The 24,555-nt window shown below is 45.5% G+C and overlaps 1 annotated feature.

Moving 5' to 3' along the window:
- Positions 488-647: an enhancer, noted in NCBI's record as "active region_4008". NCBI's record gives its function as "activates an Ori minimal core promoter by ATAC-STARR-seq in GM12878 lymphoblastoid cells {active_cell/tissue: GM12878}" and the evidence as "EXISTENCE:reporter gene assay evidence [ECO:0000049][PMID:35858748]".

Consider the following 24,555-nt stretch of genomic DNA (forward strand, 5'->3'; position numbering starts at 1 on the left):
CTTCCTCTGTATTCTCCAGGTTGTTTCTAGCCTTCCTCCTAATCACTTTTGCAGCCTGGCTGGATTTGATCAGGTTTATCTTTGTTTGGTTTGAGAAGGAATTGAAATGCCTCCTTCTCTTAAGAAGATGATTGTATATCCCTTGCAGTTTGCTTAGGGCACAGAGGTGATCTCATAGGGTTTTTCCACTCGGTGTATTTGATTTTAAAAACATAAATATGTGAAAGCCCCAATGTTGCCTCTTAAAATCCCCTTTGTGCTCAAAGAGGAAGTTTGGTGAACAGTTTCAGCAAAGTATCAGGAATATCAGATAGCATTGATTCACCGAGTTCTGGAAACAAACCTCAGCTTCTCCAGTCATTGGCTCATGATAAGAAAACTTCCCTTCCCACAAACTAATATGACAAAAAAGAGAGATCAGATAAAGATGACACATGAATTTGACGAGTGTTCCATCTTTTTTTACCCCAGCTCATGCTGTGCCCTTCTGGCTACATCATTGCCCTTGCTTCTCTACACAAAAGTCTTCTTCATTCTCACTCTTGCCCAGTAACCTTCACCAACATTCTGTCCTGTGGGGAGCTCTTCCTCCCCTGAACAACTCTGGCTTGCATGTAAAAATCTCCTAACATACACACACAGTATAGACTTTCCAAGGCAGGGACTCTGCTGAATTCTTATTTGCACACCTGTGGGATAAGCTGCTTAGCTCACAGCCCTGGTGTGCAATGCAGGCTGGGCATCAGAACTACCCATATAGCTTTTAAGAACTACAAATGTCTAGGTTGGGTGCAGTGGCTCACTCTGTAATCCCAGTGGAGGCCAAGGTGGGAGGATTGCTTGAGCCCAGGAATTCAAAACCAGCCTAGACAACATAGTGAGACCCCATCTCTACAAAATAAAAAATTTAAAAATTAGCCAGGCATGGTGGCATGCACCTGTGGTCCCAGCTACTCGGGAGGCTGAGGTGGGAGGATTGCTTGAGCCCAGGAGTTTGAGGCTACAGTGAGCCATGTTCACATCACTGCACTCCAGCCTGGGTGACACAGTAAGACCCCAACTCAAACAGCAACAACAACAAATAAACTACAAATGTCCAGACCCCACTCCGGGCCTTCTGAATCAAGATCACTCCATAGGTGACTCTGACTTGCGGCTGAAATGAGAACCACTAGCTTACCATCATTGGAAGGATTAAACGAGTTAACATACAGACGGATATTTTTTAAACTATAGACTTTCATGACAAATGCTAGGTATGATTCGTAGTGAATGCTACAGTTGCCCTCCACCCCATCCAACCCTTCTAACTCCTCCTCCCTTTCTCAAAGTTTCTGTTCAGAGGGTCACTCCTCCTCCACGCAGCCCCGTGGCTTCAGGGAAGCTGACCCCGCCTTCAGTGTCAGGTGAGGGGCTGATTTGTCTGAGCCTAAATCCATGATTCAGGAGTGGGGATGTGACTGGCCATTGAGACCCAGAAGGACTGCTGGAGGCTTCTGGGAAGAGTTTCCCTCACTTTGGGAAGCTTTGCTCTCCTGTCATGATTCTAGTTGTTACTGACAGCCATTCTGGGACCTTTCTCTCTCTCTTTCCTCTCTCCTTTCCCCAGAGGTAACAGGGCTTAGGATAATGCTATGAAAACACCTTGGTCTTTGACGGTGGATGGAGCTACCCTGAGCTGATCTCAATTTGGATTTCCATTTCTGTGCACCAGGAAATGCCTCATGGTTTAAGGCAGCTCTGTTACTTGTGGCTGAAATATCCTCCTGGCTACATTTGCTTTTAATTCCTTCTCAAGTATCATCTGACACAATGCCCTCTTTAGTAAATGCTTCAATAAGTATTTGTTGAATGTATGAATGACTTCATCGTCATTGAGTGCCTAGACTTGCTGGGTACTGGAGATACAGTAGCAACTAAAAGAAGTCCCTTTCCTTATGGATTTTATATTCTGGTGGGAATAAAACTGCACTTGTGGGTCAGGTTAGCAGCTTCTCTAGAGAAATAAACTTTATGTTTCTAGTTGTACAAACAGATGGTTCAACCCACATTAGGGGTTAGAATGGTAACATTTGTGCTAAAGAATCACTGCTTAGGAATTCACCTGACCACCAGAGTGACTTTCTGCAGCTAAAGAAAAAGGAAATGACAAGAAGAATCATGAAGAATACTTTGTCCCTAAGTTTATGACTCAGAGGAAAAACTACAGGGCTCTTGTTCCCAGATCTCAACACCAGAGCATGAGACAGGTCCTCGATTGCAGAAGACAAAGTGAGGAGTAACAATCTGAAAGATTCAGGATAACTCGATTTTAACAAATGAATGAAACTGGAAGAAGGGGAAACTGACGACCTGCTGAATGTTAATATTTGAGTCAGTGCAAGGTATCACGAGAGGTAGGGATCAGCTCATCTCTAGGTCTTCTGTCTGCAAGAAAGCAGGCAAAGGGAGGATGCTTCCAACTTACAGATTGTCTAGTGCAGCTTAAACTGAGGGACAGCCTTTCTTCTTTATTTTTGTATAGGATAGCCTCTTTTTCAAGATTGCCTTAGATGTATTCTTTGCACAAATGTTGGGATGATCCCATAACTTCTCCGGGGAAGTCAATGCTAGCTAGGGTGGCTACATTCACCACTCAGATTAAGGAAAGAGTCACCTGGCAAGTAAAATGACCGAAATGAAGAAATGTTTGGGGCAGCAACAGGCCTGGTGATTCAGCTGGGCTGGCCAGAGAGCAAATTCCAAGGGGTAGGATAGGAGGGGAAGCAGTCCAGCAACCTGAGGTAAGGGCCAAATTCAGGAAGATTAGTGATAACGCAAGGCAAAGGTAAACACGCTAGACCTGGAAGATGAGGGCTTCATAGAGCAGGGCTCAGGAACTTTAAGCCTGGACACTTGGGGAGCAAGAGGTAAGGACTTTGACCCTAAGATCCTGAGGTTAGGTCCCAGTAATAAAACTCAGCACCAGCTGACAGAAAGGACAATGACAAAGGGTGTACCCTTCAAGGGTAGGAGGAGTCCTACAGGCTTTGTGAGATATGGCACACAGTCAGTGCTGTGTAAATGTTAAAAGGGTGAATGAAGTCACTAGGCTGGGCTGTACGATGGCAGCAATCAGACTGTTTTTCATCCTTAAGCTCTAAAACTACTGGTTCTTCTGGAACTGGCAAAATTTTCAGTAAGATGCTTTAGTTCCCCAAAACAGATAATTGAGATAGTTTTTGTTTTGTTTTTGCCCAACCTGCTTCTATTCCCCTGGAGATAGCATTGCAGTTTTCTTTGGGGGACTGCGCCTCCTCTGCCTTCAAACCATGCAGCTCAGGTAATGCCCTGTTTACTAAATGCTTCAGTAAGCATTTATTGAATGAATGAAAAAATTCGGCCAGGCATGGTGGCTCACGCCTGTAATCCCAGCACTTTGGGAGGCCGAGGTGGGCAGATCACGAGGTCAGGAGATGGAGACCATCCTGGCTAACACGGTGAAATCCCGTCTCTACTAAAAATACAAAAAATTAGTCGGGCATGGTGGCGGGCGCCTGTAGTTCCAGCTACTCGGGAGGCTGAGGCAGAATGGCATGAACCCGGGAGGTGGAGCTTGCAGTGAGCCGAGATCACGCCACTGCACTCCAGCCTGGGCTACAGAGCGAGACTCCATCCCCCCTCCAAAAAAAAAAATTCATTGTCATTGAATGCCTAGACTTACCGAGTACTGGAGATAAAGTAGTAACTAAACCAAGTCCTTGTCCTTATGGATTTTATATTCTGGTGGGAATAAAACTGCACTTGTGGGTCAGGTTAGCAGCTTCTCTAGAGAAATAAGCTTTATGTTTCTAGTTGTACAAATAGATCGGTTCAACCAACAAAAGTGGTTCAAATGGGAACCCTTGTGCCAAAGGATCACTGCCAACCATGCTCTCCTATCTAGGAGTGGGCAAGTGGCTTGGCTAATTAGCATATTCCATTCCTCTATACACTGTGATTAGTTCGGGGATGGGCACATGATCTACGTTGTTCCAATGGAAGTTAATTCTGAGACTTTTGCTAGAACTACTGAGAAGGGGCCAGTTTTTCTCTGCTGAGGTTGCCGAGCTATACAATGTAGAATGTAAACCCAGGGTTGGCAGGAGTCACTGCATGGAGCTGGCCTGGCAGCAGATGGAACCAACTCAGAAAAAAGCATAGCTCGGGAAGTAGGGGATAGATTGAAAGACAATAATTCTGGTGACATAATTTGAGTTTCTGGTACCAGCTGTGCCTGAAGAGAGGCCTACCACTGGTCTTCTCTATGACTATTGCTTAAGCCAGCCTGAATTGGGTTTCCATTACTAACAACTTGGTGTCCTGAAATGATAAACAATGGAGACTGTATGATAAGTAACTGCTTTCCCATCTTGTCAGAGCTGATGAACTCCAGGCCAGGCGCAGTGGCTCACACCTGTAATCCCAGCACTTTGGGAGGCCAAGGTGGGTAGATTACTTGAGACCAGGAGGAGTTTGAGACCAGCCTGGCCAACATGGTGAAACCCCGTCTCTACTAGAAATACAAAAATTAGCCAGGTGTGGTGGTGCATGCCTGTAATCCCAGCTACTTGGGAGGCTGAGGCACGAAAATTGCTTGAACCCAGGAGGCGGAGCTTGCAGTGAGCTGAGATTGCGCCACTGCACTCCAGCCTGGGTGACAGAGAGAGACTCCATCTTAAAAAAAAAAAAAAAAAAGAGTTGAGGAAATCCAGCCAATCAACTAATACTTATGTAGTGATTTCTGTTGCCAGATATTGTTCTAAGTACTGGGGATACAGCTATAAACAGAAGTCCTTGCCCTCAAAGAGCTTACATTCCAGCAGGAGGAGACAATTGTTAAAGTAGTCAACAATAAATACATACGAAAAGTTTAGGTATAAATAAGAGCTATTAAGAAGATTAAATAGGAGCGAGCCACCTGCTCTCAGACAGGGCCCATCTCTCAGAGGGGGCAACATTTGAATTGCGGTCATAATGACAAGATACAAAGAAGCGGCCATTCAAAGACTGGGGCAAGAATGCCCTGAGGAGAATGAATAGCCGGTGCCAAGGCTCTAAGACAGGAACAAGACTGGCCTGTTCAAGAGACTAAAAAAAGGCACATGTGGCTGGAATGTCTCGAGTAAGGAGACCAGTAGAGAGAGGAAGATGGGGCAGAGAGGTAAGCTGAGGCAGTCCCCTCAATTTTGTGAGAATTTGAATTTTATTCTGAATGCAACAGACCTTCACTGGAGTTACTGAGACCTGATTTACCTTTTAAAAACATTATTCTAGGCCGGGCGTGGTGGCTCATGCCTGTAATCCCAGCACTTTGGGAGGCCAAGGTGGGCGGATCACTTGAGGTCAGGAGTTCAAGACCAGCCTGCCCAATATGGTGAAACCCTCTCTCTACTAAAAATACAAAAAAAGTAGCCAGGCATGGTGGCAGGCGTCTGTAATCCCAGCTACTCGGGAGGCTGAGGCAGGAGAATTGCTTGAACCTGGGAGGCAGAGGTTGCAGTGAGCCGAGATTGCGCCATTGCACTCCAGCCTGGGTGACAAGAGTGAAATTCCGTCTCAAAAAAAAAAAATTATTCTAGATGTGGGTTGAAGGTTGGACTTAAGGAAGGCAAGAGGGACATAAGGAGGACCTATTAGGAGATAATGCAGTAGTCCAGGCAAGAGATGATGGAGGGGCCCCAGGCCAGGGTTGGAGCAGTGGAGATGGAAATAGAGAAAGGGGGTTGCATTCAGGATACATTTTGGAGGCTTAGTCAATAGAATGTACTGTGGGTTAAAGGGAGGTGTGAGGAAAAGATGATTTAAGCCTGATGACTAAGTTTTAGCCTGAGCAGCCAGGTGAATGATGGCGCCATTTACAAAAATGAGAAAGTCAAGGCGGGGTGTGATGGAATCCATATTGTTGGGAGAAAAGCTGAGTCGTTGGGAGAGAAGCTGAGGTGGAGCTTACATGTCTGCTAGACTTGCTGGCTCCTTGCTTCTAGCACTCCCATTGTCTCAAGTAGCCATATGTTTCTCATTCACTTGATACACCATTTCGTTTCAACCCCCACATCCTCACCACCTGTTTCTTTGATCACCAACAAATAGCGAGGGCTCCCAAAGCTCAGGGCCTTCCCAGCCTCCACACTCGCGATGGCCCCCTGGTCCCACTTTCTCTCTCAAACTGTCTTTTTCTCATTCTTTTGACTCTGCTGGATTTCGTCGCCCCCATGACCTGGTGTTGAGTCTGATCACCCCAACACATATTGCTGCCTCAGCTATGCAAGACATCCAAGTGTAGATGTCAAATGGGCAAAGGGATAGAACATTCCTGGAGTTCCTTTTTTCTTTTTCTTGCTTAAACAACAAATTTATTTTCTCACAGTTCTGGAGACTAGAAACCTAAGTCCGAGATCACAGTGTCAGCAGGGCTGCTTTCTTCTGAGGGCTCTCTCCTGGGCTTAGAGATGCCCATCTTCTCTCTGTGTATTTGCATGGTCTTCTGTCTGTTTGTGTCTGCATCCTAATCTCTTCTTTGTATAAGCAAGAGGTGACAGCGTGCTGGCAGCCCTTGCAGCCCTCGCTCGCTCTTGGCACCTCCTCGGCCTCGGCGCCCACTCTGTCCACACTTGAGGAGTCCTTCAGCCCTCTGCTGCACTGTGGGAGCCCCTTTCTGGGCTGGCCGAGGCCGGAGCTGGCTCCCTCAGCTTGCGGGGAGGTGTGGAGGGAGAGGCGTGGGCGGAACCGTGGAACCGGGGCTGCTCATGGCGCTTGTGGGCCAGCACGAGTTCCGGGTGGGCGTGGGCTCGGCGGCCCCGCACCCGGAGTGGCCAGCTGGCCCCACCGGCCCCAGGCAGTGAGGGGCTTAGCACCCGGATGAGCAGCTGTGGAGGGTGTGCCGGGTCCCCCAGCAGTGCCAGCCCAGCAGCGCTACACTGGCTTTCTCGCTGGGCCTTAGCTGCCTCCCCACAGGGCAGGGCTCAGGACCTGCAGCCCGCCATGCCTGAGCCTCCCCTGCCCTGCCCCCTGCTGTGGGTTCCTGTGCCGCCTGAGCCTCCCCGACGAGCGCCGCCCCCTGCTCCACGGTGCCCAGTCCCATCGACTGCCCAAGGGCTGAGGAGTGCGGACGCAAGGCGTGGGACTGGCAGGCAGCTCCACCTGCGGCCCCAGTGCGGGATCCACTGGGTGAAGCCAGCTGGGCTCCTGAGTCTTGTGGGGACTTGGAGAACTTTTAAGTCTAGCTGGGGGATTGTATATGCACCAATCAGCACCCTGTGTCTAGTCAGGGTTTGTAAATGCACCAATCAGCACTCTGTGTCTAGCTCAAGGTTTGTAAACACACCAATCAGCACCCTGTGTCTAGCTCAAGGTTTGTAAATGCACCAATCAGTGCTTTGTGTCTAGCTGATCTGGTGGGGACTTGGAGAACCTTTATGTCTAGCTAATGGATTGTGAATGCACCAATCAGCACTCTGTGTCTAGCTCAGGGTTTGTAAATGCACCAATCAGCACCCTGTGTCTAGCTCAGGGTTTGTGAATGCACCAATCAGTGCTCTGTGTCTAGCTAATCTAGTGGGGACTTGGAGAACTTTTGTGTCTAGTTCAGGGACTGTAAATGCACCAATCAGTTCCCTGTCAAAACGGACCAATCAGCTCTCTGTAAAACAGACCAATCAGCTCTCTGTAAAATGGACCAATCAGCGGAATGTGGGTGGGGCCAGATAAGGGAATAAAAGCAGGCTGCCGGAGCCGGCAGTGGCAACCCGTTCAGATCTGTTTTCATGCTGTGGAAGCTTTGTTCTTTTGCTCTTTGCAATAAATCTTTCTGTTGCTCACTCTTTGGATTCACACTGCCTTTATGAGCTGTAACACTCACGATGAAGGTCTGAAGCTTCACTCCTGAAGCCAGCAAGACCACGAACCCACCGGGAGGAATGAACAACTCCAGATGTGCCGCCTTAAGAGCTGTAACACTCACCGTGAAGGTCTGCAGCTTCACTCCTGAAGCGAGCGAGACCACGAACCCACCAGAAGGGAAAAACTCCGAACACATCCGAACATCAGAAGGAACAAACTCCGGACATGCCACCTTTAAGAACCGTAACACTCACCGCGAGGGTCCACGGCTTCATTCTTGAAGTCAGTGAGACCAAGAACCCGCCAATTCTGGACACATAAGGAAGCCAATCCTATTTGATTAGGGCCCCCCCATATGATTTCATTTAACCCTAATTACTTGTTTCTAAGAAATCATCAATTTATTTATTTTTTTTGAGACAGGATCTCACTCTATCATTCATGCTGGAGTGCAGTGGTGCGATCAGAGCTCACTGTAACTTTGACCTCCTGCGTTCACTCAGTCCTCCCACCCCAGCCTCCCAAGTAGCTAGGGTTAAAGGCAAGTGCCCTACCACACTCACCTGTTTTTAAAATATTTTGTAGAGATAGGGTTGCACTATGTTGCCCAGGCTAGTCTGGAACTCCCGGCCTCAAGCAATCCTCCTGCCTCAGCCTCCCAAAGTGCTGGGATTACAGGCATGAGCCACTGTACCAGGCCTAATTTACCTTTTTTTTTTTGAGATGGAGTCTCACTCTGTCTCCCAGGCTGGAGTGCAGTGCAACCTCTGCCTCCTGGGTTCCAGCAATTCTCCTGCCTCAGCCTCCCAAGTAGCTGGGATTACAGGTGTGTGCCACCACACCTGGCTAATTTTTTGTATTTTTAGTAGAGACGGAGTTTCACCATGTTAGCCAGGCTGGTCTCAAACTCCTGACCTCAAGTGATCTGCCTGCCTTGCCCTCCCAAAGTGCTGGGATTACAGGCGTGAGCCACCGAGCCAGGCCCAAATTTACTTTTTAAATTAACATGTAATTATACATATTTATGGAGTACATAGTGATGTTTTGATACATATGATGTATAGTGCTCAGCTCAGGATGATTAGCATATTCATCATGTCAAACATGTATCATTTCTCCATGTTAGGAACATTCAATATCCTCCTAGCTATTTGAAACTATGTATTATTAACTTTAGTCATACTCCAGTAGTATGGACCACTAGAACTAATTCCTCTTGTTTAGCTGTAATTTTGTATCCCTTAACAAATGGGACATGTTTTCTTAATATACCATTTAACACACTCTATGAAAGAACAAGTTTCATTTTTCAGCTTTAAATACATGAGCTTTACATAAAATAGCTCTTAATTCAAAAAACATTGGCCAAACCAAACTAATCTACTGCGTTAGAAGTCAGGATCAGGAGGAGGAGAGAGTGTGTAGTGATGGGAAGGGAAATATCAGGAGCTTCTGGGGTGCTAGAGATGTTCTGTTCCTTTCACCTGGGTAGTGGTTACATGGCCCACTTAAAGATAATTAAGCTGTACACTCACGATATGTATACTTTTCTGTATGTATTCCTCAATTAAAATTTTTTTTTAAAAAATAACAAAGGAATCAGGAGGCCTGTGCTTCAGTTCCAGTACTAAAGGTAACTAGCTGTGTGATCACAGGCAAGTTACTTAACCTCTCTGGACCTCAAGTTTTCTCACCTGTCAGTGGAGAGGATTGAACCAGATGCTCACCAAGATCCCGTCCACCCAACATGGTTCCACAGGCAGCTTCCTCCATTTGAGATCGGGCACTTGTGCTGCTGGAGTCAGCCTGAAGCCCTCTCTGACCTTCACCAAGGAGGAGCTGGTCCTTTTTCATGTTCTTCCTTTCAGAAACTAACAGTTGTGGCTGATGTCTCTGTGGTACCACTTGTTACTAACAAGGCAGCTGTGAAGTTAATGATAGTGCAAATAAAAAGCTGCTGGTAATTAGGTGGCTGGATGTTCAGGCATTATTGTTATTTTTAAAAAAATCGGCTGGGCACGGTGGCTCACTCCTGTAATCCCAGCACTTTGGGAGGCTGAGGTGGGTGGATCACCTGAGGTCAGGAGTTTGAGACCAGCCTGAACAACATGGTGAAACACCGTCTCTACTAAATATATATTTAAAAAAATTAGCTGGGCATGGTGGCACATGCCTATAATCCCAGCTACTTGGGAGGCTGAGGCAGGAGAATCGCTAGAACCCTGGAGGCGGAGGTTGCAGTGAGCTAAGATTGCACCATTGCACCCCAGCCTGGGCAACAAGAGTGAAACTCCATCTGAAAAAAAAAAAAAAGAAAAAGAAAAAAATCAATTAGCTGAATAAGAAAATGCCATTGAGATGAACATTTATTTTTCTCCTTAGCATGATTCTGGTTGGATAGGAGGTTAATGTGGTCAATTCCAGAAGGGAAAAATATGTTTCTTATATATTAGAACTTAACATATACTTTTAAAACTGCATAGGGGGCCGGGCGTGGTGGCTCATGCCTGTAATTCCAGCATTTTGGAAGGCCGAGGCAGGTGGATCACAAGGTTAGGAGTTCGAGACCAGCCTGACCAACATGGTGAAACCCCTTCTCTACTAAAAATACAAAAATTAGCTGGGCATGGTGGCATGCGCCTGTAATCTTAGCTACTCGGGAGGCTGAGGCAGGAGAATCGCTGGAACCAGGGAGGCAGAAGCTGCAGTGAGCCGAGATCTTGCCATTGCACTCCAGCCTGGGCAGCAGACTGAGACTCCGTCTCAAAAAACAAACGAACAAACAAAAACTTCATAGGGGAAGATGGAGGCTTTTAATTTTTTACAAAAGGTTTCTGTAAGTGAGGGAGAAGCTTCATAATAATGACCTGTGATTTGTACCTACTGCTGACTTACTAACTAACCTCTGACTCTGGCAATGACCACATCCTCATTTCCTCCTTTTAGAAGGTAACCAAAAACACTTCTAGGAAGTCTGGGGTTATTGAGCCATAGTCCTATCTCTAAGACCTAGATAGTCTATAAAGCAAAATAAATGAAGCAACAAAATTTTTTCCTTGTACTTCTGTTGTTCACTGTTCAAATATCTACATTTAACCAAGCAGATATTCTAATATGGCTGTGTTTATTTACGACTGTCTTCTGAAGACTGCCTGGATCTGTTTTAACCCGGTAACCCTGGGCAAGTTACTTACCCTTCCTGAGCCTTATTTCTTCATCTGTAAAAGGAGATAGTGACAGTACCCACCTCAACGTTTGTGTGTGTGCACGCATGTGTGTGTGCACAGACATGCATGTGAATTAGGTGACATAGCCCATAGAAAATGCTTTGCACAATGCCTGGCATGTAACAGGCTCTCAAAAAATATGAACTATTTTTACCCTTGGGTAGAAGTGGTTCTTACACCTGTGGGGAAGGGACTGGGCAACGTTAGGCAGCAGAAAGTAGGTCTGGCTGTTTTCCTTTTGTGTGGCCTTGAGAACTCCTGCATATAAGGGCTCTTGTCCATCCTGGCTCTCACAGGACCCCCAGCAGGGCTTTTAGACTTCTCTGGGTTTATCAGTTTTCAGTCCCTGCTTGTCGCGCTTTTGGAACTACAAATAGCCTCGGAGAGAGGGCGTCAGATGTTTTGAATCTCCCCCTGCTAATGGATGGGACCACACCCCCTGCCGCCACAGCTGGTAACACAGGCCTTTAGGATAATGGAAGGCATTTGGGGATCTATTTTTCTCTTACTGTGCAGAGCATTACTCACCTCACTCCTCTGTGTTACAAGGAAGGCGAAGGAGAAAAGCACAATAAGCTGCCAAGGATGAGTCAAATTTCAATAGAGCGTCTTTGCTCAGAGGCAGCAACTGCCAACTGCCATTTCTTATGCATTCCTGAGATTCACATTGCAAAATAAATCCTGAACTCCTGCCCCTTTCTTCTTTTTTTCCCCAGGGAAGGGCAACAAATGGAGCTGCATTTTGACTGCACTCTTTCTAGGTTGGAGAAGCAGGGAAAGTGATACTCCGGGAGCTGGTGTGTCTAAGGCCTCTGTGAGTCTGCATGGTCAACACAGCTGGCTCTGCCTTTGCGCTCAGCTTCTCCTGAGGCATCAACCTGCATCTAAGCTCTTCTGCCTCCTTTCCGGGAATGGCCACGGTCTATGGTTTCTCAATTGACTCGAGATTCAGGAGAGTATGGAGAACTTCTCTTTCCCTGACCAGTGGTATACTGCTGTGGCCCTTGTAGCAGGGGAACAGCCTAACTGCTACAACATTCATTTCAGCCAAGAGATCAGTCCACTCCCACATGGGAGCAGGTGCCTTCACCCATGACCCTGACCTTCTTATAAAGCTTTCATTCAGGATGGCATGAGGTCTTTCCTCAGAAGGTGTCAAGAGAGAGAAATGCTAAAGGAAGAGATGCAATCAGTTTTATGATCATTAGGTGTTTAAGCTATAGGGCTTATCTTATAACACATTGTATCTGTGGTACAAAGCAATGGATGTATCAGAAGGGAAAGGATGAGGTTACGTTCAGAGTGTAGGGCAGGAAAAGAGAACACACAACATTATTGAATTAACTAGACTCTGTCTTGCATGAGGCATATTTTGAGCATCTCCATAGGCCATAGGAAACAACATTGCAGAAAACATTAATTTTAACTGAATGTTCGTACTTGAGGCTGGTGGTTCCCAAACTTGGCTGAGCCTGAGAGTCACAGGGAGCCTCTGATGATACAAGTTCTCGGTTCTGTGTAAGGGAATTCTGATTCCCTGGGTCTTGGGTGGAAATATTCATTTTAGAAGTTCCCCAGGTTGTTCAGATGACCAGTCAGGTTTGGGAACTACTAAGGTGGGCCACATTTTGAAAGGACATGGTCCCATATCATCTACCATCAACAAGTCAGCTTTTAAACTTTTTATTGTGAAATAATGCACAGATACAGAAAAGCTTATAAAATAGAAATGTGGCTCAGCTCAGTGATTTAGTTCAAAGAAAATGCCGAACTGTCCACCTCCCCCTTGAGAAGTAGAACATTGCCAACAGATGTATTTCCTGGCAACTAAACGAAATCTTGAAATTGTCCTCATTTATAAACCGTTGGAGCGATTTGACTTCTCTAGTACCTGGATTTCAAGCCTTGGGTTTTGTGTGTATCTCTGATACTCTCAGACTTTGCTTTGACTTAAGGAGCTGAGTTTTTTATCCTTTATAATCTTGCACTTGGAACTCATAATTAACCAGGAGTCAGAAAATCTCTCTTCAAATCTTAACTCCTCCACTTGCATGCAGTGTGATTGTGGGCAAGTTACTTAACATTTCTGGTTCTTAGGTTCCTCGTCTATTAAATAATGAGAATAACAATATGCACCCGATAGGAGTTTGTGACCATTAAATTTTTTGAACAAAATAATGCCTTACAACCGTAGAACACTTTTCTATCAGATCCCATTTTCATTTTGCTATTCTCCAAAATGACTCTTCCCAGCAATTATTCCCTGTCTCCCTTGCATCTGGGCCCTGTGCCAGAACCTGTGTCATTTCTGTACTGCTATGGTTTGAATGTGTTCCCAAAGTTCATGTGTTGGAAACTTAATCCTCAATGCCACAGTGTTGAGAAGTGGAGCCTAATAAGAGGTGATTGAATTAATGTCATCATTATAGGCTTGTTATAAAAGCAAGTTTGGCCCCTTCTTGCTCTATTACTTTTCCACCTTCTGCATGAGATGATATAGCAACAAGGACCTCACCAGATGCCAGCCCCTTGACCTTGGACTTCCCAGCCTCCAGAACTAGAAGAAATAAATCTCTGTTCTTTATAAATTATCCAGTCTCAGGAATTCTGTTACAGGAGCACAACATGTACTAAGACAATTCATTGCTGCCTTACCTCTTACTTTAAAAGGAAGCAAGCAAACAAAAAAAAAATCTTCCTTGACCCCACATCTTTCTCCTGCCATCGCCTTATCATTCTGCTTCCTTTCACAGCTAAAATTTTGTAGTTACTGTCTATGTTCTCTCCTCTATCCTCTGCAGCTGGGGCTTCTGTCTCTGTTCACCCACTGAGATGACACTTGTCAGATCGCAGTCATATCTGTGTTGCCCAAGTCCAGTGACTACTGCTCTATTCTGGACTCAGTTGGCCTTTCAGCAACATTTGACAGAGGGAACTGCAAATACAAAGGCCCTGATGGGGGACAGGTTTGGTGGATTGAAGAAACAGAAAAAAAAAATGCTGGTTTGGTTGGAGCACAGAGCTGAGAAGGCAGTGGTCGGTGAGGGCCAAATCACATGACGGCACCTTGTCAACTGGAGTGAAGCTTCAGACCAGCTCTGGCACAAGCAGGTGCTCAGTGTTAGCTATCACCATTGTTACTAAGAGCTTAACAGTGCCAAGTGTGAGAGAGGTGGGAAGGAGGCTGTCAGGGAAAGGAAGAGAAAATCTCAGCCCTTGAAGAGCTTTCCATCTAGTTGAGGGTTTAGATTGTACCCGTGACATAGGTTACTGGGCAAGAGAGCCTGTGAGCCAATTTCTTGGTGGCCAATTTGTTGTCATTGCCCTCCCCTGCCCCATTCACTTTCTTGGTGAATTGCATTGCATCCAGTGATTGTCTCTGGATAATTAAGATTTTTTTTTCAACCTGAAAGGAGGCAAAAGTGGGCTGTGAGCCCCAGTAAAGAAAGAGGCAATTAAGAAGTAGCAACCATGAGATCAGAGTGTGGGTTGAGGACAGAAACTAAACCTGGTGTCCTCTCTCTTTTTCCAGATTACTCAAGATAATCCCCTCCAAATAAATAATAATAGCTGGTCACTGCTGTCTCATTTGTACTAAAGCTGCAAACCACACAAAAGAAGTCAGACTGCAGAAGTAGCCCTTTGGATTCCTGATGCAACACAGGAGACCTAAGGCAGGTGTATACGTGTGTGTGTGTGTGTGTGTGTGTGTGTGTTTAAGACAGAGTCTTACTCTCCCACCCAGGCTGGAGTGCAATGGCGCAATCTCAGCTCACTGCAACCTCCGCCTCCCGGGTTCAAGAGATTGTCCTGCCTCAGCCTCCCGAGTAGCTGGGATTACATCACCACCACACCCAGCTAATTTTTTTTTTTTGAGATGGAGTTTCACTCTTGTTGCCCAGGCTGGAGTGCAATGGCACGATCTCTGCTCACCACAACCTCCGCCTCCCAGGTTCAAGCGATTCTCCTGCCTCAGCCTCCCGAGTAGCTGGGATTACAGGCATTTGTCACCACGCCTGGCTAATTTTGTATTTTTAGTAGAGATGAGGTTTCTCCATGTTGCTCAGGCTGGTCTCGAACTCCCGACCTCAGGTGATCCGCCCACCTCAACATCCCAAAGTGCTGGGATTACAGGCGTGAGCCACTGCACCAGGCCTAATTTTTGTATTTTTAGTAGCAAAGGGATTTCACCATGTTGGCCAGGCCGGTCTCGAACTCCTGACCTCAGGTGATCCACCCGCCTCAGTCTCCCAAAAAGCTGGGATTACAGGTGTGAGCCACTGCGCCCAGCCAGGCAGGTGTGTTTTAATCCTCCTGCTGTCTTTGCCACACATCCCTACTACAGGCCCATTTGCAGGCACACACTCAGCAGACCCACACACTCAACGCACACATTCAATACATATGCACACTTAATACACACTCAATAATATAAACACTCAACACCGGAACAATTAATACACACACACACACACACTCAGCACACATGCTAAACATACACACACCCACCAGAAACACAACACAACTCAGTACACATGTACACACACACTCAACCCACACGGTCAGCACCCACACATTCAGCACTCACAGACATTCATGCACAGTCCGAGCATTCATGATACTGATGGACTGTGAGTTATTTTCCATTTCTTTGCCTGTATTGCCCAGCAAGCTGAAAGTTGAACAGCATGGAACACTGAAGTGAGTCAGGAAAGATTCACCATCTTCAATTATAATTTTCTGCCACTTATCTGCCAGATCACAGTCTGGTGAGATCAAGAAAAATGAGCAGGTAATTTTTACAAAGAAAGACACTACTGGCATAGCATGCTCACTTTTTCTATACATGTGTCTCTCTGACACTATCTCTCTATGTCTGTCTCTATCTTTGATTATGGAAAAGCTGGCCCAGAAGAGGGTCCCATTTAGAAATGAGCTAGACAAAAAGTTAAAACGTACTGTGACTTTTAAAGGAGACCTGTTTGAAATAGGCCATCCTGAGTTAACTCCCAAAGCTTGAAAGGTTAGAGAATAATACTCCAGATACCATCTGGGCAAATTAACAACGCTGGATGATGCGAAACCAAAACTTTAATGAAGAATTCCATGAATAAGTAGAATAGATGATCTCGCCCTATCTAAAATTAATTTGCTTTCATTTCCAAACTCTGACGCTAGCAGAGTTCTTCCTCAAAATGACGAACCTGTAGAGCATTCTGGGCAATAGCATGCAAATGAGTAAGATCGCTGTGTTCCCTGCTTGGATTCTGGCAGACCACTTCATATGGCAAGAAATATGCTAGGGTAGAGCTTATTCCAATCTTAATCTGGTTGTTTTCAGATTTTCTGTTTGAGGACATTTTGTCATTATCCTAGTTTTCTAGTGTTCCTCTTTTTAATGTCTGGTAGCTCAATTGTCTTTTCTTTCATGCCTCTTTTCCAGCATTTCAGGCCAGTTTGATACCTTTATTCTCTCCATTTTAGATTCTAAAGCATCCATTGAGTGTCTAAATGTATCTGGCGTTATACAGGTGCTTTGTGTAAAGAAAACCTAGTAGAGTATTAAAAGCCAAAGTCGCCGAAAAGGATGCAGCAAATTTTCCTTGACAATTGTCTTAGCACTTAAAAAAATTTTCAATGTATTTTATAATCTTATTTTATCTTAGAACATATTGGTCTGCCACTAATGGAAATAAAACAAAAAACTGGTCCATCACCCATAGGTGAAATAGATAACATTAAAATTAAGAAATGCTAGCAATGAAAAGACATACAAGGATGAAAAAGCAAGTCATAAAATGGGAGAAAATTTTCCAACACATTCATTGTCAAAGGAGTTATAAGAATTAATTCAAACAAAAATGGGCCAAAAAAAAAAAAACAAAAAACCCGTGGAGAGACACTTTACATCAGGAAATCCCAAGGCTCAAGGAACAGGTGAGTAGTGTCCTACCTGACTTTCACCAGTTAAATGAATATTAAAACCACAACGAAAGCCACAGAGCAACCAGAGCAACAAAAACTAAAACATCTCACAATCCCAGGTGTCAGTGAGGATGCTGAGCAGCAGGAACACCCGAACACTCTGTTGGGAAGTAAAACCATCAAAGCCCTTCAGGGCACTCTTTGGTAGTATCCACCAAAGCTGAACGTGAGAAGCCGAACTTGTGAGCAGCAGTTCCACTGCTAATCCTCATCCTAGGAACCAACAGCAGTGTGTGCACAAACCCCGTAGTGGGGATGGGCGCATTCATGCTTGGGCACCAAGCAGGGTTTGTGATGGCTGCAAAATGGAAACAAGCAAAATGTCCACCCAAGCTCACTGGATAAATGAAAGCTGTTGTATTCACACTTTGGAATAGTAAACAGCAGTAAAGATCATCAAGCCGCAGCTTCAGATACCGTTGGTCTTGTCTGACTTCCCCACTGGATCTGCAGGGCATCCCAGGGACAGATTCTCCATGAATGCAGTCACGTCTTAGTGCTGGGGTTATTCCTGTCTGCAGAGCTTGCCCCTGCTTGGTGCCCAGACATCATAAGGGGTAAGAAAGGACCCCTGAAGAAGTTTTGGGTGGGAAGATCCCCCAGGCTCCCTACCACAAGCTTTGGCCCCTGGTAATTGCTGGGATGCTGTCCAGAGTATTTGGCCTGCTGGTTCATGAACCACAGGTGCTTGTTCAGGTTGAGTCCGGCAGCCCTTCTGCTCCTTGTAGGCTGGGTACCCACTTTTCTCCAAGTATTTCTCTATCTCCTGCTGTGATTCCCTGCTAGGACTCTGTGTTCCTGGTGCCACCTCCTCAAGGACTAAGGATGGTGTGAGGCCCTTGAGATTCTTAAGTTTTTGCCTCCTTCATTCCTTTGTTCCCTCCCCAAGAGCTTAATACATTTTTTGGTGTGTGTCATCTAAAATTTTCAAGCCATATACTTGTCCAAAAATAAGGCCTCCCAGAAGCATTAGACCATGAGGCAGTCATGGCCTTGGCCCCTGTGAAGATAGCCTGGATTGATGACTGAATAGAAGACACTTGATGAAAATGTTAAGACATTGAATAAATGCACACAGAGAATACCAAGGACCTCCCCTTTCCTCCTGAAAATAACCGGCTGCCTCTTTTCCTTCCCATTTGCAGGTCCCTGCAGCCCCACTGCTTAACCACATCTTTCAGCTTTCCCCGACCCTCCCCAAATAGATTTCATTTACATTTTGCCTAATTGCTCCAATAGCTTTTGTGGCATTTTCCTTCTAGGAGCACTCAAAATGGACTCCCAGTCGGCAACCCTGCCCCCTAAAAATCAGCATCCAGGTAGAACAAGCCCCAGCCCCAGCTTCTGGAAGGAGTGAAGTCACAGGGTTAAAAGCCCAGACACTCCTTAAAAGCTTTGTGATGTCTTCACACTAAAAATGTGTATTTTTTAAGTGGTTAGTTGTATTTCTTTTTGAAAAAAATTAGTTCATCTAATTATAAAATAGGTAAAACATGTACATTTACAAAATTGAAAAGGTAGAAAGAGGTACACGGTGAAAAATGAAGTCTCTTTGCTCTCACCCCTGTCTGCAGACTCCCAAGCGCCCTCTCCAGAGGTACCACTGTCACCAGTTTGTGCCAGAGACAGTCGATGTGTGTGTAAGATTATATGTACATAGACTTTCTCTTTCCTAAAATTACAAGCAATAGCATACCACACAGTGTTTGCTTTTTCACTTAGAACTATTTCTTGGCAATTGTATCATACAAGGACATTTTGCTCTGCCTCATTAAAGGCTTCATACTACTCTACTCCATAGAGGTGCCAATGGATGGACATTTAAGATATTTTAATAAGGTTTGGCTATTATAAATAAGACTGCAGTAAGTAAGAACCTCTCTGTTTCAATCGTTCTTCTCCAGACTCAGTCTCCTAGGGGTAATCTTTTAAATGTTTAAGAGAATGTAGACAAGGGAATGGTCTTCTTTGGTGCCTGCTGGGAAATTAGGACTCCTCTGTCTAGTACTGCGTCACCTTGGGAGAGTTGCTTATCACATGGAGGTAAAGTGGGTAAACTCTCCTAAGAGGGGTCTGGATGAAAAGCAATAACACATTGGTTAAAATGCTTTAAGAAGTTGAATGCATTTTACAGATATAATAAGGTATGACTATAGACTAATGGGACAGATTTTACCAGAATCATATACTAGAACCAGCCACGTTGCTTTACATTGGATAGATGATACTCGGAAGACAGTTCAGACTGACTTAGGAAAAAACCGGAAATTTATTCTCTTGTGTAGCATAGAAGCCCATGGAGTAGGGCTGTCTTTAGGTATGGCTGGATTCCAATGCTCAGATGACGTCACTAGGATTCAATTTCTCTGTCTTTGGCTCTGCCTTTACATGTATTGACTCCATTTTCATATGTACCCCCTTGTGTGGAGAGGATGGTCATAGCAGCCCAAGTGTCATGTCCTCCCTGGTGTTACTGGCTGCAGTTGAGTCTCCTCGACTCTTATTGACCAGAATTAGGTCAAGTGGCTGTCCCTCAATCAATCAGAGAATGTGGTCATCTGGTTGTGCCAGCCTCGGCATAATGCCTTTTCTAAGACTCAGCGCAGAGTCAACTCCACTGGAATCCAATGAACTAAGGGGGAAAGAGTGGTATCTGAACAAACACCCAGTGCTCTCGGGCTTTACAGGGATGGACGCTGGGCTCTTTTCTTTATCTGTTTGTGTTGCTATAAAGGAATACCCGAAGCTGGGTAATTTATAAAGAAAAGAGGTTTAATTGGATCATGGTTGTGCAGGCTGCAAGGAGCATGGCATTGATATCTGCTTCTGGTGAGCTTCAGGAAGCTTCCACTCATGGCAGAAGGTGAAAGAGAACAGGCATCACATGGTGAGAGAGAAGGAAAGAGAGAGGAGAGGGGTGCCAGCTCTTGAGTGAACTAACAGAATGAGAACCCAATTACCACAGGGAAGGCATCAAGCCTTTCATGAGAGATCCTCCCCCATGACCCAAACACCTGCCACCAGCCCTACTGCCAACTTCGAGGATCAAATTTCAACATGAGATTTGAGGGGAGAGATATTCAAACTATATCGGCCATCAGGAAGCCACAAATATTCACTACCTTTTGGGGATTTGCTGTTCACAAGCCTGTCATTTCAAAATTCTGGCTCAGACAGCTGAATTCCTTTCAAGGAATAGCTCTGCATTAGGTTTTAGGAGGTAGTGGAAATAAGCAATTAAAGGCATGCATGTGGCAAAAGAAGTGTTTACATGTTGAAATAGCCTTTAAAAATATTTCTTCCTTTATAAGATAGAAGAAGACTTCCTCCTGTCAAGTAAAGACGTTTGCCCTACAAAGGTCTGGCAAAACAAATTTAGTTCTTCATCTGCATTGCAGGAAAAACAAAACCACGAAGGCTGGCATGTTCCTTCTGCACAACTGGGAAGACATTAGGTGCTGGAAACCCCCAACACATTTAAGGACATTTAAATCTACAAAGAGGGAAGAAAATAATTGTTTTGGCCAAATACATGATGGTTATTAAGATAAGCTCAGCCATGTTTTTTTCAGTTACACAGGGAAGGTGGAGGAGGTCCCTAAAAATCTCCCTACCTCAAGCTTTGAAAGAGACAACAATGGAATGCAAATGACCCAAAATTACGCTAGGAAATTCATGTTGAAATAACCTATGAGGGTGTCAGCCCTCTAATCTTATTTTCTTGGTTTCGGTATCTGCTTCCATTCCTTTCTGCATCTTCCTTCTGTTTATTTCCCCAACTCCATCCTACCCTCAAGTCTCACGTCATGGGAGCTTGCCAGTCTCACTGAGCACAGGGAACCAGCAGTGCTTGTAGCCGGCAGACAGGCCTTCCTGAGTGGGGAATGGCTGTGGGGGGCCCTGTTTCCATTTCACCATTCATGTTAATCAGCAGTTACTATCTTGTCCTCAACTCTGCTTTTGGGGAGAGTGGAGTGACTCCTGGGGACAGGTGAGTTACAGGAGGCAAGCTGGAGGAACCACAAGGAACATGGGTAGAGAGCTGTCCATCTGACAGCCAAAGGGGCCTGCTCTCTCTCGCATTCTCTCTCTTTCACTCTCTCACTCTCTCTATTGCAGGAGGGGAAAGGGAGAGCTTTATTCTCTATGAAGAACAGTCTGCAGACTGGGGAGACAAAGCCTTTAGTATAAGTGAAAGTGTGCTCTCCACAGAGGGGCTCTTTTGACTCTTTTTCTGGCTCTGTGGCCAAGGAGCTCCCAGCTCTCCCCGTTCCCCCAAAACTCTTTGTTTCCAGGCAACTTGTTCCCCTGCAGTCAGGGACCCAAAACTGTTGGCTGGCAGACTTTGCTTTATTTGGCCAGCAACAGGTTTGAACATATTTTAAATTTAAATGCCTTTGGGCATAGTGTGTGTGTGTGTGTGTGTGTGTGTGTGTGTGTGTGTGTGTGTGTGTATGTATGTGTATCCTTCAGTTTTCCACAGTCTCCACCACTCCCTATTGCCTTTTACAGGCCTGCTCCACTCTGTCTTATCTGCCTAGCCCATGAGTTTGTGACTCTGACCTGCAGCTGATAGATGACATATTCATTCTTTCATTTTCATAATTTTAATTCTCTCCCCTCCATTCTTTCTGAAGCAAACAACCTCAAATGATGACTCCCAAACTTGACTGTATGCCCTCTTCCATGCCTCCACCACCTCACTGGGCCACACTCTTCATGTCTGCTTTTCCTGTCCTCAAACAGCCCTCCTGCTCAGGGTCCAGACACATTCTGGCCCCCTTTTCTGCTGTGCCTTTCAACCTCCCATTAATTAATTTAGACTCAGCCTCCAGAGCCCCTCCCAAATGTTACTTTCACAAGGAATCCCTTCCCTGACTGCTCTAGACAAGGGTAGATCCCGTCAAATGCTCAGAACACCTGCGCTTTTCCTTCACAGCCTTACCTAGATTGTCTTGTAATAATTAGTTATGAAATTAACTATTAACTGTTTGATATCTGCCTTCCCTCTTCCTCTGCTCCCCACCTCCATCACCTCCCAAACATGAGCTTGAAGAGGATAGTTACCCTGATCACCTTATTCAGCTGCGTCTCCAGCTTCTGGTACAATTTGAGCACTCATTACATTTTGATGAATAAGGGAATGAATGAAGGAGTAAATGAAAGGATGGGTAGGCCAGGCATGATGGCGGAAGCTTGTAATCCCAGCACTTTAGGAGGCTGAGGTGGGAGGATCACTTGAACCCAGGAGTTCGAGACCAGCCTGGGTAACATGGTGAGACCCCATCTCTAATTAAAAAAAAAGAAGAAGAAAGCATGGGTATGATGTCATCAGACTGAGATGGCAGGGAGGAGCGTTTCAGGAGAAAGACCGAGAACAAAGTCTCTGTTCAATTAAGTTTAGCCTAAAGCTGCCTCTTTACATATATTAAGTTAGGCCTAAAGGTTTCTCTGTACATAGTGAACTGTAACCTAACTGGATGTGTAAATGCACTGTAACCTACTCTTGTACCAATCACCAAGTTTCAGCTTATCAAAGGTGGCCAGCTGTCCAAACCATCTTCAAATTAGGCAGGTGCCAAACTGTAACCAATCCAGCTATTTCTATACCTCACTTCTAGTTTCTGTATGTCAGTTTCCTTTTTCTATCCATAAATCTTCTACAACCATGAGGCAGTGCCAATTCCTCCCAAACCTACTCTGGTTCAGGGGGCTTCCCAATCTATGAATCGTTCTTTTTTCAATTGTGTTAAATTTAATTTGCCTAAAATCAACAGGTCCAAGATGGTAAAGCATGGAGCATATGTAGGGACCACGTAGAGCCACGTTCATTCATAAATCCAACCTCCCTGAACGAGCCGGACTTCCTGAAGGTGCCTGGGTGAACTGGAGGCTCTCATCCCATCATCCTTTCCCTCTTCACTCTGTCCCAAGTGCCTACCACGCACGGGCAGAAGAGGGTTTCCCAGCTTCCATGGCTCCTTTTACTTTCCCCTTTTGCCCTCCCTCTAGGATGCTTCCCTCCTCTTCCCCACTCACTGTTTAAACTCTTCACTCCATTCCTTCTCAAAATAAAGGCCATTTAGTGATAACTTCCTCAGTTTTTCTTTCTTTTCATCTCAATGCTGTGGCCCTCAGCGACACTTATGTAGGTAGAGCAGTCTTCTCAGGGCAAGTATTTTTTTTTAACTTCTGTGGTTTCATCTGAATTGTTTTTGTTTGAGGCTTAAATGGATCCATTGATTTTTCTGACCTATTCAGGAACTTTGCTATTTTTAAATAAAAGAGAGATGTGCCAAGGAATAGCAAGCCAAAACCACTTCCATTGGTGAAAATCACCTTCAAGAAGGACAGACTGACTTTCAGAGGCCCGGCAAAGTGGTGGAGTGGGGGCTCCAGTCTGAGTGCAGGAGGTCTGGGGGCTCGGCTGTTTGGAGCCCAGCCCCTGATGGGTGACCCTGCACATCATTGCCCTTCTCTGTACCATGAGGGGGTTGGTCAGGGGATTTCAAGCCAATTTCTAACTTTGACAACTCACCTGGGTCTCCTGAGCTTAGGGTCATTGGATGTCACCCTATCCCTGCAAGAGCAAAGCCCAGGGAAGCCCCAGAGCATGAGTCACATGGGGTGGCCTCAGTGGGCCTGCCTGTGTCCCTACACAAGACAATCATCCTGCCTGTCTGGGTAGGGCATGCATTGTGAGGTCCAATTTACAGGAATGGGAGGAAATTAGAGAAGTGGCTCTTCCTCAGTTTTGTAAAGACTCTAAATGAGCCAACCTCTCACTTCCACCTACCAGACCTGTGACTCAGGAGTGGCCTCATGGTTGGGTTGGAAGAAGGGTTCACTGCATACACAGGGTCTCCTCATAGCCCCTTCAGGGTCCCCTACATTTTCTTCCCTCTGCCACCTCTGGTCACCACTGACTGGAATATGCTTGGGTGGTCAGGTGGAAATGGAGAGAAGACTTCCTCCTTCTCTGTGCCCCATCCCTAATAGAATAGTATATTAATCACCAAAGGGGACTGTGTTAGTCCACTCTCGTGTTGCTGTAAAGAAATACCTGACACTGGGTAATTTATAAAGAAAAGAGGTTTAATTGGCTCACGGTTCTGCAGGCTACACAAGTATGGTGCCCGCATCTGCTCAGCTTCTTGGTAGGTCTCAGATAGCTTTTACTTATGGAGGAAGGCAAAGGGGGAGTCGGCACATCACATGGCAAAAGCAGGAGCAAAAGAGAGAAGGGCAGGGAGGTGCCGCATACTTTTAAACAATTGGATCCCACTAGAACTTACTTACTATCATGAAGACAACACTAAGCCATGAGGGATCTACCCCCAGGACCTAAATACCTCCCACCAGGCCCCACCTTCAACACTGGGGGTTAAATTTCATCATGTGATTTTGAGGACAGATATCCAAACTAGATCAGGAACACAGAAGTGGTCAATCATTAGATATTCACCATCCCCTGAGGACCACA

Source organism: Homo sapiens, chromosome 10 (genome assembly GCF_000001405.40).
Source record: "Homo sapiens chromosome 10, GRCh38.p14 Primary Assembly".
NCBI lineage: Eukaryota > Metazoa > Chordata > Mammalia > Primates > Hominidae > Homo > Homo sapiens.